At 51.9% G+C, this 16,711-nt stretch overlaps 1 long non-coding RNA gene across 1 annotated transcript, besides 4 other annotated features; it reads left to right on the top strand.

The window, feature by feature from the left end:
* Window positions 1–252: 252 nt before the first annotated feature.
* On the top strand, window positions 253–5,957 carry LINC03080 (long intergenic non-protein coding RNA 3080). Its single transcript, XR_007064775.1, has 2 exons — window positions 253–296; window positions 871–5,957. It is a non-coding gene; the product is annotated as a long intergenic non-protein coding RNA 3080 (long non-coding RNA).
* Window positions 1,090–2,289: an enhancer, noted in NCBI's record as "MED14-independent group 3 enhancer chr15:99973380-99974579 (GRCh37/hg19 assembly coordinates)". NCBI's record gives its function as "activates an origin of replication core promoter dependent on BRD2, BRD4, P300/CBP and CDK7 cofactors, and independent of MED14, by STARR-seq in HCT116 cells {active_cell/tissue: HCT116}" and the evidence as "EXISTENCE:reporter gene assay evidence [ECO:0000049][PMID:35650434]".
* Window positions 1,849–2,048: an enhancer, noted in NCBI's record as "active region_10153". NCBI's record gives its function as "activates an Ori minimal core promoter by ATAC-STARR-seq in GM12878 lymphoblastoid cells {active_cell/tissue: GM12878}" and the evidence as "EXISTENCE:reporter gene assay evidence [ECO:0000049][PMID:35858748]".
* Window positions 2,059–2,108: an enhancer, noted in NCBI's record as "active region_10152". NCBI's record gives its function as "activates an Ori minimal core promoter by ATAC-STARR-seq in GM12878 lymphoblastoid cells {active_cell/tissue: GM12878}" and the evidence as "EXISTENCE:reporter gene assay evidence [ECO:0000049][PMID:35858748]".
* Window positions 10,056–10,115: a silencer, noted in NCBI's record as "silent region_6867". NCBI's record gives its function as "represses an Ori minimal core promoter by ATAC-STARR-seq in GM12878 lymphoblastoid cells {active_cell/tissue: GM12878}" and the evidence as "EXISTENCE:reporter gene assay evidence [ECO:0000049][PMID:35858748]".

Genomic DNA, 16,711 nt, shown 5'->3' with positions numbered 1-16,711 from the left:
CACCCAGCGAGGGTGGGGACAGTGAGGGAGGCTCCGCCTGCACACCTGGGCAGGCTGCGTTCAGGCTCGAGGTGGCTGGACTCACATCTCCCTCGCATCCTGTCACCCCGCTCCTCCCTTGCCGGCCCCTGTGGGCCCCCACCCGACGGGAGCTCACACATAGGTGGTTGCCTCCACGTCTTAATGCCCTCCCCCTGCGCGTCCCCAGGGCTGGCACACCCTGCAATTACAGCTGCCGTTCCCCGCCTTCCCATTGTGCCTGCCTCACCTCCCCACTCTCCCCGGCTAATTACCAGGTTTGCCCTTCACAGTTTCTGCGGTAATGCTAAGGCCCGCGCCCCTCAGCTGCCAGCGCTGCGTGTTTTAGTAGCTGCAGGGAGGAAGAATCGAGATGGCTTCAGCAAAGCCCTCCACTTTGCTTGGGAGAAGGGGGCGTTTGTGGGCAGGGCATTGCATGGGAAACTGCAATGTGCACTTGTTTGACCTGGATCCCTGGTTCAAATGCATCCCCTGGTCCCTGCAGGTCCGGGGTGGGGCTGGAGCTTTTGTGTGTCTCATCAGCTCCCAGGTGAGGCGTGAGGGCGCAGGGACGAGCACAGAGGAGGTCGGGAGCCCCGGGCTGGTGGGGGCGGCTTGCCCAGGTCTCGCTGGGCAGCTCGGAGCAGGTCCTGCCACCAATCTAGGGGTCCAGTCTCAAGATGTCCCAGGTTGTGGTAAGGACCCGAAAGGGAGGTGCACCGGCTTCTAGCCCAGGGCAGACCCTGTCAGGGGGGCTTCTAGGAGCGACGGGGATGCCAGCGTCCGCCCTTCCAGCCCTGCTGGGAAAGCGTCACCGTGTTCTGAAGAAAGCATCCTTTTTGTTCATTCCAGAAACATTTATCGAGTGCCTATGGCATGTCAGGCACAGTTCAAGTTCTGAGGATACAGAGTAAACAACAGGCAACATCACGCCTCCTCGAGCTTCTGTTCTACTGGGAGTCAGGGTAGGAAGAGACGACAACAAGGTAAATAAGTCAAATCCGGACTGTGTTACTGACAATGCAAGCTAGGAGAAAAAAGGAAGCAGGAGCAGAGAGGAGCCTGGGTGATGATGGAGATGGGGAGTTTACTTAAATAGGTGGCCATGAGGCTATCCAGCCTGTCCCAGGCGGACTTTTAGAAGACGGATTGTTTATAAGAGCCCAAAAGTATAAGTTCTTAAAAAAAATTAATTTCTGAATGTGTGATGAGAACACAAATTCCTCCACGACAGCCCTGTTTTTCCTGTGCTGCGTAGCTGAGCTCTGGGTCACGGCTGCCGAGTGCAGGCAACACTCGGGCAGTCCCAGGGCTGACCGACTGCGCATCTGGACACTGGCAATCACAGGGAAGGAGGCGAGAGCTCTGCCGGGTGCTTTGAGGCTGTCGCGTCATGTCTTCCTCCCCACAGCGTTCTGCGGGGCCTGTCCCCTTGGTGTTGTGGCACCTCCTGGTCCTCGGCTCTGCTCTTGGGGAAGAAAGAGGACACTGTCACAGGTTCCTGTCCCCTCCAGCCAACAGGAGCAGCCACACGTGGCATCTGCCCTCGAAGCTCTGTGGCATCCCTGCCGTAGGAGAAGTTACCAAGAAACCCCCAGAGCCCACAGGCTGGAGCCCCCCCAGGTTCTGCTCAGCGGGGAGAGGCAGATTGAGTCCAAATTTTCCATTTTAACTGGAATCCTAGGGGTTAAACCTGGCTGTGACTTGGCAATGGCCCCTTGTCCGTGCTGTTCCACAGGGGGTGTCCCCCTTCCCCAGGCCCTGCCCCAATGTGGCTCCAGGGCCTCTGCTCCCAGCAGGTCTCACCTGGGACAGAGGTGGGGGTGGGGCAAGAGGAACCAAGCCAGGAAGCTGCAGAAATAGCTCTGGGGGTGGGAGGGCGTGGTGCTGCCGAAGGCCGAACACCCACGCAGGGTGTTGTCTCTCCACCCTCCCAGGCCGAGGGGATTTCTCAAACGCAGGCCTCCTTCCCAGGAGGTAGGCCTGTGTCCAGTGAGGGCCCTGCCCATCCAGGCCTCTGTTTCCTGTCACTGTTCTCAAAAGCTGGGCCCAGCTGTGGCGGGGACAGCTATGTCCGGCTGCCCGTGGTCCCTTGAGAACCGGCCAGGCTGCCCCTGTGCCTGGCACATGCTCACCTGGACCCTCCAGCCAGCATCTGGGCTCCATCTGACCCCACCCCACAGGGCTCAAGCCAGCTCCAAGCATGAGTGTGGCCGAGGCCAGGTCTGTCTTCAGGGTCCCTTCCTCATCTCCACGGCCTTTTCCTGTCCCAGCTCACCCACAGGGGGCCATTTCTGCCCCACACAGGACTCCCTGTGAACCAAGGCTGCACATGCTTCTGGGTGCCCCTCTCTGGGCAGCTGGAGGGCAGAAGGAGCACCTGGCAGGTGGGTCCCAGGCCCGGCAGCAGGAGCTGCCTGCCAGACAGGACCAGAGGGGATGGCAGTCCGCTCGGGTGAGGGGTCCACAGGCAGAGGGCGTGGGGGGCTAGGAGGTCTGGGGGCCTCTGGGGAAAGGGGGCCCCAGAAACCAATGGGAATTATGGGATCTCCTCAAAGAACATGCTGGAGCAAGGCTCAGCTGCCCACTGCTGCCCCAAAAAGGCTCAGCTGCCCACTGCTGCCCCAACGGGAGTCACTGCTCACACAGAGACCGCTCCTTCCCCAGCCACTCCAGCCAGTGACTGGATACGGTGCAGGCACTAGTCCCTAGAACCAGGCCATTCCTGACCCACCAACTGCCCTGTATGCAGGCCTCTCTCTGGGGCTTCTCATCAGCCTAGCAGCACGGCTTTCTCAGGGCTTCCCTGGGTACGCACGTCCTCCTACCCAATCCCCCTTCCCTCTCTCCCTGTCCCAGGTTCAGACCTGCATCCTGGCTCGAGGCTGTCTCCCCATCTGCCACAGGTGCTTCCCCCAACGGATCTCTTGCCCCTCTCCTCCTGGCTTGGGGTCTGCTCACTGGAGGACCTGGATGGACATGACAGGGCTCAGACAGGACTTGGGAGGAGCTGTGAGCTCGCCATCAGGGCCAGCCTTGAAGGACGGGTGTGGGCGTGTCCCCCATCAGGATCCCGCTGTGGGTCTCCTTCCTGCTGTGGGGGCTGATGAAAGATGCAGGCCAGACACCTGCACATCTTTACCCTGTGCTCAGCAGCACCCCCTGACAGGGCACCCTCCCCACTACATCCCCATTCCATTCCAAAGGAAGAGACCCTGAGGGTCTGGAATGAAGAACCCCTTACCCCAGGTCAAACTGATGTTGCTGGAATCTTTGGTTGGGTCTCGACATTACCCCATATGGGCAACAGAGAAGGACTGCCGAGAGCTGGGCAAGGCCCCATGCCTGCTCCTCCTGCTTGTGCTCTCTAGATCAGAGACCCTCCCAACCTCTCCCGTAGGGGCCTGACTCCTCCCTGGTATGTCACCTTTGCTTGATCTAGGCCTCTGGAGGGGCGGCAGCCTGTCTCCCCGCACCAGCTGGGGTTCTGGCCCTGGTGGTTGCTCACCACACCTCCGGGGGCTGCCACGCGGGGTCATGTTGGTACCAAGGTTCTCTGTGGGGTGCAGGGATGACCACTGGAGAAAAGGCCAGCCCTGCCTTCCGCTGCTGCCTCAGGCTGGTCCCCGTGCCTCGCTCAGGCGGGCCAGTGACCCTCCTCACCAGCCATGGCTTCTCTTGTGACAGGCCCAACGGCAGGCCAGGTCCTGAACCCCGCAGGGAGGCCGGCCTATCAGGTCTTCACATGGCTGGGGGCACAGCCAGCCACCAGCATCCTTGTGCTGTCCCCATGGGGAAGAGAAGGGAACGATGTGTTCATAGACGCCAGGGCAAGTGGGCACGGGCAGCGCACGGAGGAAAAAGTGACTCCAATCAGAAGGGGAGTGGGTCTTGGCAATACACGTCTGGGTGGTCAGTCCCCAGAGGTGGGCACTGGGCTGAGCTCTCTCTCATCCGACGCCACCCCTGGGTGACCTCCGTTACATTTCCTAACCTCTTTGTGTGCCAATCGCCTCGTCTGGAAAAATGGGAATGGAGGAGAGTTGTACCTACCCAGGGTGGTTCTGTGGGCATTTAAAGAGCAACTTCATGTGAGACGTGGAGTCCATGTGTGGCCCATGGTGGGCTCCAGGAAATGTTGGTGATGACAGGGATGAGGGAGCAACTGAGAGCCGGCAGTGAGGTGACACACCCAAGGTCACGCCACCAGCAGAGGTAGCTGGTCACGCTGCTGAGAGCCGGCAGGAAATAGATGCGGACAAAGCAGGGTCGGTTTTCAGCTTCTCTCCACGGAAAGGCCGGCTGAAGTTTCCCTCACCACGCAGAAATCGATAAGCAGGAGGTTTTTAAAAACCACCTCCCCATTGAACCTGCCACTGCCGGAGCTGAAGGCTGTGCGTTTTGTGGTCCGCTCTGCCCCAGGGCCACTTAGGGTGCGTCCACGCTGGGTGTGCCAGGCATGCACGTGGGCTGCAGACGCCCAGGAGGCAGAGCCGAGCCTGCCAAGGTTATGCGTGCACCTCTCAGCTCCCTGCTTAACACTGCGTTCCCGGGAGAGAGATTTCTCCCTGGCTGCTTCACATCCAGAGGAGAACATCAGCTCTCAGCAGAACATAAGGCAAGTGTGAAAACAACTTTTTATCTTTTAAAATTTTTGTTTATATTTATGTATTTATTTTTTGAAATGGAGTTTCGCTCCTGCTGCCCAGGCGGGAGTGCAATGGCGCCATCTCAGCTCACCACAACCTCTGCCTCTCAGGTTCAAGCAATTCTCCTGCCTCAGCCTCCCGAGTAGCTGGGATTACAGGCATGCACCACCACACCCGGCTACTTTTGTAGCTTTAGTAGAGACAGGGTTTCTCCATGTTGAGGCTGGTCTCGAACTCCTGGCCTCAGGTGATCCGCCCGCCTCAGCCTCCCAAAGTGCTGGGATTACAGGTGTGAGCCACTGCACCCGGTGAAAACAGCTTTTTATGCCAACTGGGGCTCACTTCCAGGGGAGGCCTTTCCTGGAGGCCCCCATTCACTGCAATTCCTCAGCCTGGCTTGGAGTCATACCATCCCTCCTATCAAGAAACATTGCATCTGCAGCGATCCCCCAGAGTGAGTGGCTGGGGGGCTGCGGGAGGAGCAGGGGAGGTGCTGGAACACGTCAGGTCATCAGCAGTGTTGCTGAAAAGCTTGGCCAGGAAACCCAGATCAGCCACCAAGAACCTGAGGGCCAGCACATGGGAAGAAGAAAAATAAGGTGGTTTTTCTGGGATTTTTGGGAATATTTGGGCCTCGACCCTGCCAGGATAGGTTAGGTGGTGCAATGGTCACAAGCCCCAAGTCTTTGTGGCTGATAGCAACAGAAGCTTCTTTCTTGCCCACAGTAAGCATCCGTCGTGGTTGGCAGGAGACTGATCGTGGTCATCTATCCAGGACTGGGTTGACAGGAAGCCACCATCTTAGACTGTCAGCTTCCATTTCAGAGGGAAGGAGCCCTGTGGACGTTCTCACACCAGCATTCAGAAGCTCTTGCTGGGAAGTGTCACAAGTCACCTGTGCTCCCTGGCTAGGAGTAGTCCGTTGGCCACCCAAACACCTGGGGGCTGGCCAGGAAGGCAGTCACACAGGGGCCCACCATGGGTCTGCCCAGTTCTCAGGCACCAGACCACACCCAAGCAGGACCCCTCCTCCCCTGCTTCCCCCTCCTGTCCCCACCAAAGCCACATGGCAGGCAGATCACATGTCACAGAGCTCAGGGCCAGGCCTGCCCAGATCCTGAGGCTGGGCCACCCCTGAGAGCTTCCTATGTGAGATGTCCACTTTTTTACATTTAAATTTTACTTTTAAAATTCTAAATTGATAAATTACAGTTGTATGTATTTATGGGTACAAAGTGATGTGATGACTGATGAATACAACGTAGAAAATTAAATCAAGTAATTAACATATCCATCCCCTCACATACTCATCACTTGTTGTGGTAAGGACATTTGAAATTTACTCTCCTGGTGATTTTGGAATGTACAATACATTATTACTTACATATTTACCACACTGTGCAATGTATCTCAAAGAAAAGAAAACTTATGGTGCACACCTGTAATCCCAGCCTTACAGGAGGACAAGCGCAGGAGGATCCTTTGAGCCCAGGAGATTGAGACCAGCCCGCGCAACACAGCGAGACCCCATTTCCTAAAAACAAAAACAAAACATATATTGCTCCTGCCTAACTGAGACCCTGTGCCCTTTGACTGTCATCTCCTCACTCCCCTCACCAGCTCTCCCACAGCCTCTGGCACCATTCTGCTCTCTGCCTCTTTAAGTTTGATTGTTTTCCATCCCACATACAAGTGAGAACCTGCGGTATTTGTCTTTCTGTGCCTGGCTTATTTCACTCAGCATAATGTCCTCCAATTCCATCTATCTTGTCACAAATGACAGAACTTCTTTCTTTTTTACAGCTGAATAGTATACCACTGTGTGTATACACCATACTTTATCCATTCAACCGTTGTTGGATGATTAGGTTGATTCCGTAACTTTCGAATAGTGCTGCAGTGAGCATGGGCATGCAGACCACATGTCTGCTTTTGATCTTTTGAACAAGGACTCAGACCCCAGTGACTCACACATTTTCTTATTAAAAAAAAAGTATACGTATAAATTATATATGTGTACATATATGATATATACATATGTTATGTGACCATATCTATACACACATGTATATACACACATACAGCAAGGGTCTCCAAAGACTTCAAACTATATGTATGTATATATATAGATAGATGTGCACACCACTGCACCCGGCCAACTTTTGTGGTTTTTTTTTAGTACAGAGGGGGTTTCGCCATGTTGGCCAGGCTGGCCTCGAACTCCTGACCTCAGGTGATCTGCCCACCTCGGCCTCCCAAAGTGCTGGGATTACAGGCATGCACCACCACGCGCAGCCTAACTATCTATCTATATATATATATACGTATAGATAGATGGACAGATGTTCCTTGCAGCTTTCCTTTGGAGATGGCTTACAGCTCTGGAGAGAACCCGGGGTCCCAGCACCTTTGCCATTATAACCCATGAGACCTAAGGGTCAGCGAAGGGGCAAAGAGGTCCTGGAAACCATCTTGCATCAGTATAGTCCCTCATCAGAGGAATAAAGTGGAGCCTCAGGAGGTAAAGGACGGCTGGTGTCACCAGCTAGATCAGGGATGTGTTGACTCCCATTCCATCGGAGGGATCTGGGACCCTGCAAGTGACGCTGAGGCGTGGTCCTGCAGCATTCCCGGGTCCCCCTGGATTGCTGCACCGTGTCTCAGCCTGAACTGGACCACCTCTGCTCACACTGCATGCATGTTACTGCCTGTGACCGGAAGCACTCTAGTCGGGTTGCCCATCCCCTCACATACTCATCAGCTTTATTTCTTGCCACTTGCAAGAAAGTGAGAGCCCGAAGAGTAATGCCCAGGCAGTAAGAGAGGCGAAGCATCTGATAGAGCCTTCTTCCCACTTTTATCTAATCCGATCCATTTTCAGTAGCTTTTCTGCATAAGAGAGCCTCTTCACATGGACATCCATGCATCCACCCACGCGTCCACCCACGCGTCCACCCACGCGTCCACCCACGCGTCTACCCATGCGTCCACCCAGTCGTTCAAAACACATTTTCCTTTCCTTCTAGTTTACTGAGCACCTACTCTATGTCAGGTGCTATATTCACCAGCTTACAGTAGAATGATGACCAAGTGAAGATGTTGGCCCTAAGGAAAATAAGTGGCTGCTCTTTGATTCTTCCAGGGAGCAGATTTTGATTAGAGAAAGGAGTCCAAATAGTACAAGGCAGGAAAGACGGGAGGGGCACAGAACAGTGAGGTTGAGGCTGCAGAGAGTGGGGAGGTGGTTGCTAAAAGACTCTTCACTTACAATTCACGCAGCAAAACTGACCACCTGCCAAACTCCATCCGGGGAGAGGTCTGGGTGCAGAGACCCCCAAATAGCCTAGGCAGACAGGTGTGGGGCCACCCTCAGTGCAAGGCGAGGGCTTGTGGGGTCCTTCCAGAGGTTGCTGAAGGTGATGAGCTGCCATGAAAGATGGTAACGTCTTTCCCGTAGGCACAAGAGGAGAAAACAGTGCGTGGTGCATAGAGACCTTTGCAGTGCAGAAGGGGTTATTATTATTACAAGCCAGATGTGCCCCACTTGTTACTGAATCATCGGGTTGACTCTAAGTTTTAAAATCCAATTTCCAGGCCCTCTTCACCTGCCAGCTGGGCAACAGCAGTTACTCTCATTGGAGACCCTTTCCCTTCGCCACTTCCCAGGCTACTCCAGACTGAATGCATTCAGGGAGTCACCTCCCAGGTCAAAACCTGCTGTGATACCATCACCCTGCAGCACAGACCACAGTCCCAAGCCTCCCATTCTTGACTCTAACACCAGCCCAGCCTGACCTGCTGCAGGGTGTGGCCTGTGACCACATCTGTGCTCCGTCCACGCTGCTTCGTCCAGCCTCCCACGCCGATCCCCAGAGTAGCTCCCCGGGATGCTCTCTCCTCATCACTGCATCTGCCGCCCGCCCAGGCCCTCTGACTTTACCCTCCCGCAGGCCCCTCCCGTCTGAGGTGCTCTGGAATGCCTGTGGTGTGATTGTGCATGAACTTTTACGTGCCTGCGTCCATGCTCGAGAGCGGTCTTGCCTGAACCACCTTGTCTCAATAATCAGCATGAAACTCCTCAAAAGAAACAGAGAGGCCCCTCAGAACATCACGGAAAAGACGATGGCTCCAAAACAGCTAGATTCTAATCCCAGCTCTGCTGCGGGGCGCGGCCTCGGGCACACCTGTGCTCCGTGCATGTGACGTGACTCTCAAAAGCATCCATTTCCTCATCTGGAAAACGGGACAGTTCCTGGACTCTGCGCACCTGGAAGTGACCATGAGGGTCAAATGTTTCTCAAACTGCAAATGCTTTTCAGATGCTGGCGCCGTGACCAAAGACCTGGCTCTTACATCTGCTCTGTTTTCATGGGACACAGCCCTGGGTATACAGTAGGTGCTTAATGCAGGTGACCGTGAGGAAGGGCTGTGGCCCGTGGAGGGCAGGCAGGTGGGATTCAGCTGAGGTCCTCAAAGGCTGCACTATGGGAAAGGCTGAGCGGCAGGAAAGGGACAGACAGGCCCTCCTCCTGGGGCCCAGGGCTGGGAACCAGAGCCCCTCCTTTGGCCACTCTGAGGTGGAAGAACAAGGAGCACATAGGAGGAGTGGCCCAGGCTCTCCACCTGAGGACATTCGGAGGACCTAGAAGCACTGGCAGAGCCTGAACGTGGCACCGTAGCCTCCTGCTGGCTGGAGATGTGTCTGGGCGGTGTGTCTTGGCATGGAATCCACAGCCAGCTAGCCTGAGGCGGGGATGGGGCCAGGACCCCCGGCTGTACAGACGGAGAGCCAGAGGCGGTTGCAGGTTCCCAACCGACAGCGGAGCTGATGAGTGGCGGGGCTTTCATTTGTTGACAGGAGATGCATGTCTGAGGCCAGAGCCAACTTCTTCCAGGGAGCGGCTTCCTTCCTCCTCAAAGGACACAGGGGACACAGATGTCCAGGAGGCTGTTTAGAGAGGGCCCGAGTGGTGAGCTGTGCAGGGGTCCTCACGCCCCGGCCCCGTCTTGGATATGGGGCTGGAGACTTAGGAAGTGAGTGCTGGGTCCTGGGGTTCCCTCATCCGCCTTCAGGAAGATGTGAAGGGGCTTCCTGCGGCCTTTGGCAGCATTCATCCCAAACCCCAAAGCCTCCTTCCCCTGGCTCCGTGGCAGGAGCAGTTGCATTCTCCTGTCTGAGAGGGGCCACCTCCTTCCCACCTTGCCCTCTAAGTTGGCTCAGGCTGCGCAGGGCTCAGGCTGAGGTCCAGACCCTCATGCCAGCTTGGTGCTTGGCCAGAGCTGCAAAATTGGAGCTGGGCTGCCAGGGGGAGGGCACCGCTGAGGCCTTCTAGGCCCAGACGGGCTGAGAGAGCCCCCGCCCCCCACCCCAGCCTCACCCTCCACCCGAGGCCCCTGTCATGGGTGTGGGTGACTCAGAGGAAGTTCTGGTTTCTGTCAGATTTTGAGGCTGAGGCAACCTGATCCTGAAACAATGACAAGCCTCAGAACGGTCCTTCCCACTCCCTCAGAGGAGCGTTTCAGGCCTGGCCAATAACACAGCAGAACGGAAAATGACTTTGGGAAGGAAAGGTCAGGCGGCTAGGCCTCCCATGGAAGGCAGCAGGCGGTTGCTCAGGTCAGAGGGCCAAGTGGCGCGGTCTGTGGGCACCGGCAGCTGGCAGTGACCCTGCAGATCAACCTGGGCCCGGGCTGCAGACACCAAGCAGGGGCACCTGCCTGGCCTGGCTGCCTCATGTGGCCCCCACAGCCTTTGTCAGGACACCTCAGGACAGTGGCCTGGCCTCTAGGCCAGTGGGCCAGCTCGGGGTGCTAAAGCCTAATTTGCCTGGAGCCCCGGGCCACTCATAGATTCAGGAGGAAGAGGTGGGGTAGAGGTGGCAGAGGGAGAGCAGAGCCTGGCACACAGCATTTGGCACCATAACTGAGGCAGCTGCTTTCCTTAAGGAGCTGCCACTGACAGGATCAGCACTTACAGAGCCCCTGCTGTATGCCAGGAAGTACATTTATTATTGCTTCTTGTCACATTGGCCCTGCCAGGTATGTACCCCAAACATTAGCCTCATTTCACAGATAAGAAAATTGAGGCTTCCGTGATTAAGCAGAGGCTGTGATGTCCCATCCAGAGCCCCAGCCACCCAGCTCTCCTGCAGGACAGGAGATACCTACTAGCCTGCTTCTCGATTATTCTTTTCTTCCCTGCCACCTTGGGAATATCCCTCCCACTTGCAAGCACAGGTCGGCTATGCCAGGGGAGTCTGTGCCCCAGGGCCCCTTCATCCATGGGGATGGGAGTCTGTAGAAATGCTCACCTCCGCCCTCTCCAGTGGGGACATTGGAGGCCTGTGTCCCACAGTCTCCCTGAGGGCCCAGTGGGTTGAGCCCATTGCCCGCAGTGGAAACCCCTCATTCATGGACCTGTCTCCCTCCCCTGCCTCCCCCTCCACCTCCACCCCTGCCCTGCCCTTCCTCGGATCACTTCATGCACCCAAGTCCTCATTGCAGTCTGCTTGAGGGGGATCCCACATGTAGCCATGCCCCTTCCAGGCAGAGAGAAGCAGCACAGGCCCCTGGCTGAGTGTGCCACGGCGGGTGCAGCAGGAGTGCAAACGCAGAGTTCAACTCGGCATCCAGCTGGAACCCATGTTAACTTGCGTTTGACCAGCGTAAGAGAGACAAGAAGATGAGTAGAACTGTAGCAGTCAAAATGCTTCAGCTGCAGGTAATAGGAAGTCCAGCTCAAACCGGTTTAAGCGGAGGCCAGGGGCTGCAGGGTGGGCATCTCCCATGGCACCTGCTCTGGTCCCTCAGTCCCCCTGAGTGGTGCACACTTCCCTCCACAAGGTGTGTTGCCGGGTGGCCACGGCTGTCCTGGGCTCGCATTTGCTCATGACAGTGTCTGGAGAGCTCCGCCTTTGAGGGCTCTTCCTGGGGCCTCTAACGAGAGAGGACTGGGGGGACCACGACAAAAAATATCTGGGTTCTTGAGACAGCAGAAAAGGTGGTGGAAGCTGGGTGAGTAGCCAGACAGTATCTACTAGAATTTTTTTTTCTCCAATTTAAGTTTCTCCCTGGTGAGTTCTTAACCCGCCGCTGACTGGCCAATGCTAGCAGACGGACACAGGGAACAAACAAGTGGCATATTAATCTTCATGGAAAAGCCTAGAAACGGGCAGTCCTTTCACAGCAGTTCTGTGTCTACAGTGAACACATGGGCTGTGTTTAACTGTGTAAACACAATAAAGTTGTGTTATGGAAGTGAACTTGTTCCTGACTGGCAGATGGATTTAAATGTAAGAGTGGTCCATGGGCCCCTCCACGGAGCTGATGCTGCCCCAGCATCCTTCCTATGGCCCTTCAGCCTCTGGCTATTGGTCTTCCTGTATCCATGCACGGCTGAGCTGGAGGCCAACACAGGAGCAGCCATTCCAGGCAGGTCTGGGCAGGGGTCCCTGGCGTGTAGCTCTGGAGGGAGTGGGGCTGTGTAAGCTCAGCGTCTTGTCTCCCTCACTGAAAATACAGGACACAATGGAACAGAATAGAGAGCCCAGAAATAAGGCTGAACACCTACAACCATCTGATCTTCAACAAAGCTGACAAAAACAAGCAATGGGGAAAGGACTTCCTTTCAATAAATGGTGCTGGGATAGCTGGCTAGCCATATGCAGAAAATTGAAACTGGACCCCTACCTTACACCATATACAAAAATCAACTCTAGATGAAGTAAAGACTTAAAGGGAAAATCTAAAACTATAAACACCCTGGAAGACACCTTAGTAAATACCATTCTGGACATAGAACTTGGAAATATTTCATGATAAAGATGCCAAAGCAATTGCAACAAAAACAAAAATTGACAAATGGAATCTAATAAAACTAAAGCACTTCTGCACAGCAAATCAACAGAATAAACAGACAACCTAAGAGTAGGAGAAGATATTTGCAAACTATGCATCTGACAAAGATCTAATATCCAGCATCTATAAGGAACTTAAACAAATGTACAAGCAAAAAACAACCCCATTCAGAAGTGGGCAAAAGACATAAACAGACACTTCTCAAAAGAAGACATACATGCGGCCAAAAAGCATATGAAAAAATGCTGAATATCACTAAGCATTAGAGAAATGCAAATCAAAACCACAATGAGATACCATTGCACACCAATCAAAATGCCTATTTTTTTTTTTTTTTTTTTTGAGACTGAGTTTCGCTCTTTTGCCTGGACTGGAGTGCAGCAGCGCAATCTCCACTCACTGCAACCTCTGCCTTCCAGTTTCAAGGGATTCTCCTGCCTCAGCCTCCCAAGTAGCTGGGATTACAGGCGCCCACCACCACGCCTGGCTAATTTTTGTATTTTTAGTAGAGACGGGGTTTCACCACGTTGGCCAGCCTGCTCTTGAACTCCTGGCCTCGTGATCCACCTCAGCCTCCCAAAGTGCTGGGATTACAGGTGTAAGCCACTGTGCCCAGCCTGCAGAATGACTATTATTTAAAAGACAAAAAAAAAAAAACAAACCCTGGTGAGGTTGTGGAGAATAGGAAACACTTATACACTGTTCATGGGAGTATAAATTATCTCAGCCATTGTGGAAAGCAGTGTGGTGATTCCTCAAAGAACAGAACTACCATTCAACCCAGCAATCCTATTTCTGGGTATATACCCCAAAGAATATAAATTGTTCTATCATAAAGACACATGAACACATACGTTAATTGCAGCACTATTCACAATAGCAAAGATATGGAACCAACCTAAATGCCCATCAACAGTAGACTGGATAAAGAAAATGTGTTACATATACACCAGGGAATACTATGCAGCCATAAAAAAGAATGAGATCATGTCCTTTGTGGGAATGTGGATGGAACTGGAGCCCATTATCCTTAGCAGAGTAATGCAGGAGACCCAAATACCACATGTATGTTCTCACTTATAAATGGGAGCTAAATGATAACACATGGACACACCAAGAGGGGAACAACACACACTGGGGCCTCCTTGAGAGTGGAGAGTGGGAGGAGGGAAAGGAGCAGAAAAACTACCTGTCTGAACTGTGCTTATCACCTGAGTGACAAAGCAGTCTTTACAGCAACCTCCCGTGACACACAGTTTATCTATATAACAAATCTACATATGTACCCTTGAACCTAAAATAAAAGTTCAAAAAAAAAAAAAAGAAAATGGAAAACACAGGACACTGTCCCTCTCCCTCCCCCAGTCAACCCAAGCTGAGATTTTTCAAGGCCTCTACACCTCTTTTAAATAATTCCCAGATGATTGAATTCCCAGATTGAAGCAAATGCTCCCAAACAGTGGAGCAACTCGGCCCTGGGGTCTTAAGCCCCCACCTTCCCCAAGAAACGAGACTGGCCTCCTCCTTTTTGCAGGGCAGTGTGGAGCAGTGGAGGAGCAGAGGCAGTGGGCTCCACTCGCAGCTGTGTGGCCTTGAGCAATGGCATCTGCCATTGCTGAGGCTTGAGTAGGTAAACAAAGCTGCCGGGAAGCTCAAACTGGGTGGAGCCCACCGCAGCTCAAAGAGGCCTGCCGACCTCTGTAGACTCCACCTCTGGGGGCAGGGCATAGCTGAACAAAAGGCAGCAGAAACTTCTGCAGACTTAAACATCCCTGTCTGACAGCTTTGAAGAGATTAGTGGTTCTCCCAGCAATCCCCAATTCAACAAGAAGAGCTAACTATCCTAAATATATATGCACCCAATACAGGAGCACCCAAATTCATACCCTTAGAGACCTACAAAGAGACTTAGACTCCCACACAATAATAACGGGAGACTTTAACACCCTACTGTCAACATTAGATAGATCAACAAGACAGAAAGTTAACCAGCATATTGAACTCAGCTCTGCACCAAGCGGACCTAATAGACATCTACAGAACTCTCCACCCCAAATCAACAGAATATACATTCTTCTCAGCACCACATCACACTTATTCCTAAATTGACCACATAGTTGGAAGTAAAGCATTCCTCAGCAAATGTAAAAGAAGAGAAATTATAACAAACTGTCTCTCAGACCACAGTGCAATCAAACTAGGACTCAAGATTAAGAAACTCACTTAAAACTGCTCAACTACATGGAAACTGAAAAATATGCTCCTGAATGACTACTGGGTACATAACGAAATGAAGGCAGAAATAAAGATGTTCTTTGAAACCAATGGGAACCAAGACACAACATACCAGAATCTCTGGGACACATTTAAAGCAGTGTGTAGAGGGAAATGTATAGCATTAAATGCCCACAAGAGAAAGCAGGAAAGATCTAAAATTGACACCATAACATCACAATTAAAAGAACTAGAGAAGCAAGAGCAAACACATTCAAAAGCTAGCAGAAGGCAAGAAATAACTAAGATCAGATCAGAACTGAAGGAGATAGAGACACAAAAAACCCTTCAAAAAATCAATGAATCCAGGAGCTGGTTTTTTGAAAGGATCAACAAAATTGATAGACCACTAGCAAGACTAATAAAGAAGAAAAGAGAGAAGAATCAAATGGACGCAATAAAAAATGATAAAGGGGATATCACCACCGATCCCACAGAAATACAAACTACCATCAGAGAATACTACAAACACCTCTACGCAAATAAACTAGGAAATCTAGAAGAAATGGATAAATTCCTGGACTCATACGCCCTCCCAAGACTAAACCAGAAAGAAGTTGAATCCCTGAATAGACCAATAACAGGCTCTGAAATTGAGGCAATAATTAATAGCCTACCAACCAAAAAGAGTCCAGGACCAGACGGATTCACAGCAGAATTCTACCAGAGGTACAAGGAGGAGCTGGTACCATTCCTTCTGAAACTATTCCAATCAATAGAAAAAGGGAATCCTCCCTAACTCATTTTATGAGGCCAGCATCATCCTGATACCAAAGCCTGACAGAGACACAACAAAAAAAGAGAATTTTAGACCAATATCCCTGAAGAACATTGAGGCAAAAATCCTCAATAAAATACTGGCAAATCGAATCCAGCAGCACATCAAAAAGCTTACCCATCAAAAAGCTTATCCACCACAATCAAGTTGGCTTCATCCCTGGGAGGCAAGGCTGGTTCAACATATGCAAATCAATAAATGTAATCCATCATATAAACAGAACCAAAGACAAAAACCACATGATTATCTCAATAGATGCAGAAAAGGCCTTCAACAAAAGTCAACAGCCCTTCATGCTAAAAACTCTCAATAAACTAGGTATTGATGGGATGTATCTCAAAATAATAAGAGCTATTTATGACAAACCCACAGCCAATATCATACTGAATAGGCAAAAACTGGAAGCATTCCCTTTGAAAACTGGCACAAGACAGGGATGCCCTCTCTCACCACTCTTATTCAACATAGTGTTGGAAGTTCTGGCCAGGGCAATCAGGCAGGAGAAAGAAATAAAGGGTATTGAACTAGGAAAAGAGGAAGTCAAATTGTCCCTGTTTGCAGATGACATGATTGTATATTTAGAAAACCCCATCGTCTTAGCCCAAAATCTCCTTAAGCTGATAAGCGACTTCAGCAAAGTCTCAGGATACAAAATCAATGTGCAAAAATCACAAGCATTCCTATACACCAAAAACAGACAAACAGCCAAATCATGAGTGAACTCCCATTCACAATTGCTTCAAAGAGAATAAAACACCTAGGAATCCAATTTACAAGGGATGTGAAGGACTTCTTCAAGGAGAACTATAAACCATGGCTCAACGAAATCAAAGAGGACACAAACAAATGGAAGAGCATTCCATGCTCATGGATAGGAAGAATCAATATCATGAAAATGGCCATACTGCCCAAGGTAATTTATAGATTCAATGCCATTCCCATCAAGCTACCAATGACTTTCTTCACAGAATTGGAAAAAACTACTTTAAAGTTCATATGGAACCAAAAAAGGGCCTGCATTGCCAAGACAATCCTAAGCCAAAAGAACAAAGCTGGAGGCATCATGCTACCTGACTTCAAACTATACTACAAGGCTACAGTAACCAAAACAGTATGGTACTGGTACCAAAACAGA

Source organism: Homo sapiens, chromosome 15 (assembly GCF_000001405.40).
Source record: "Homo sapiens chromosome 15, GRCh38.p14 Primary Assembly".
Classification (NCBI taxonomy): Eukaryota; Metazoa; Chordata; class Mammalia; order Primates; family Hominidae; genus Homo; species Homo sapiens.
This window is presented reverse-complemented; position numbering and strand designations above follow the sequence as displayed.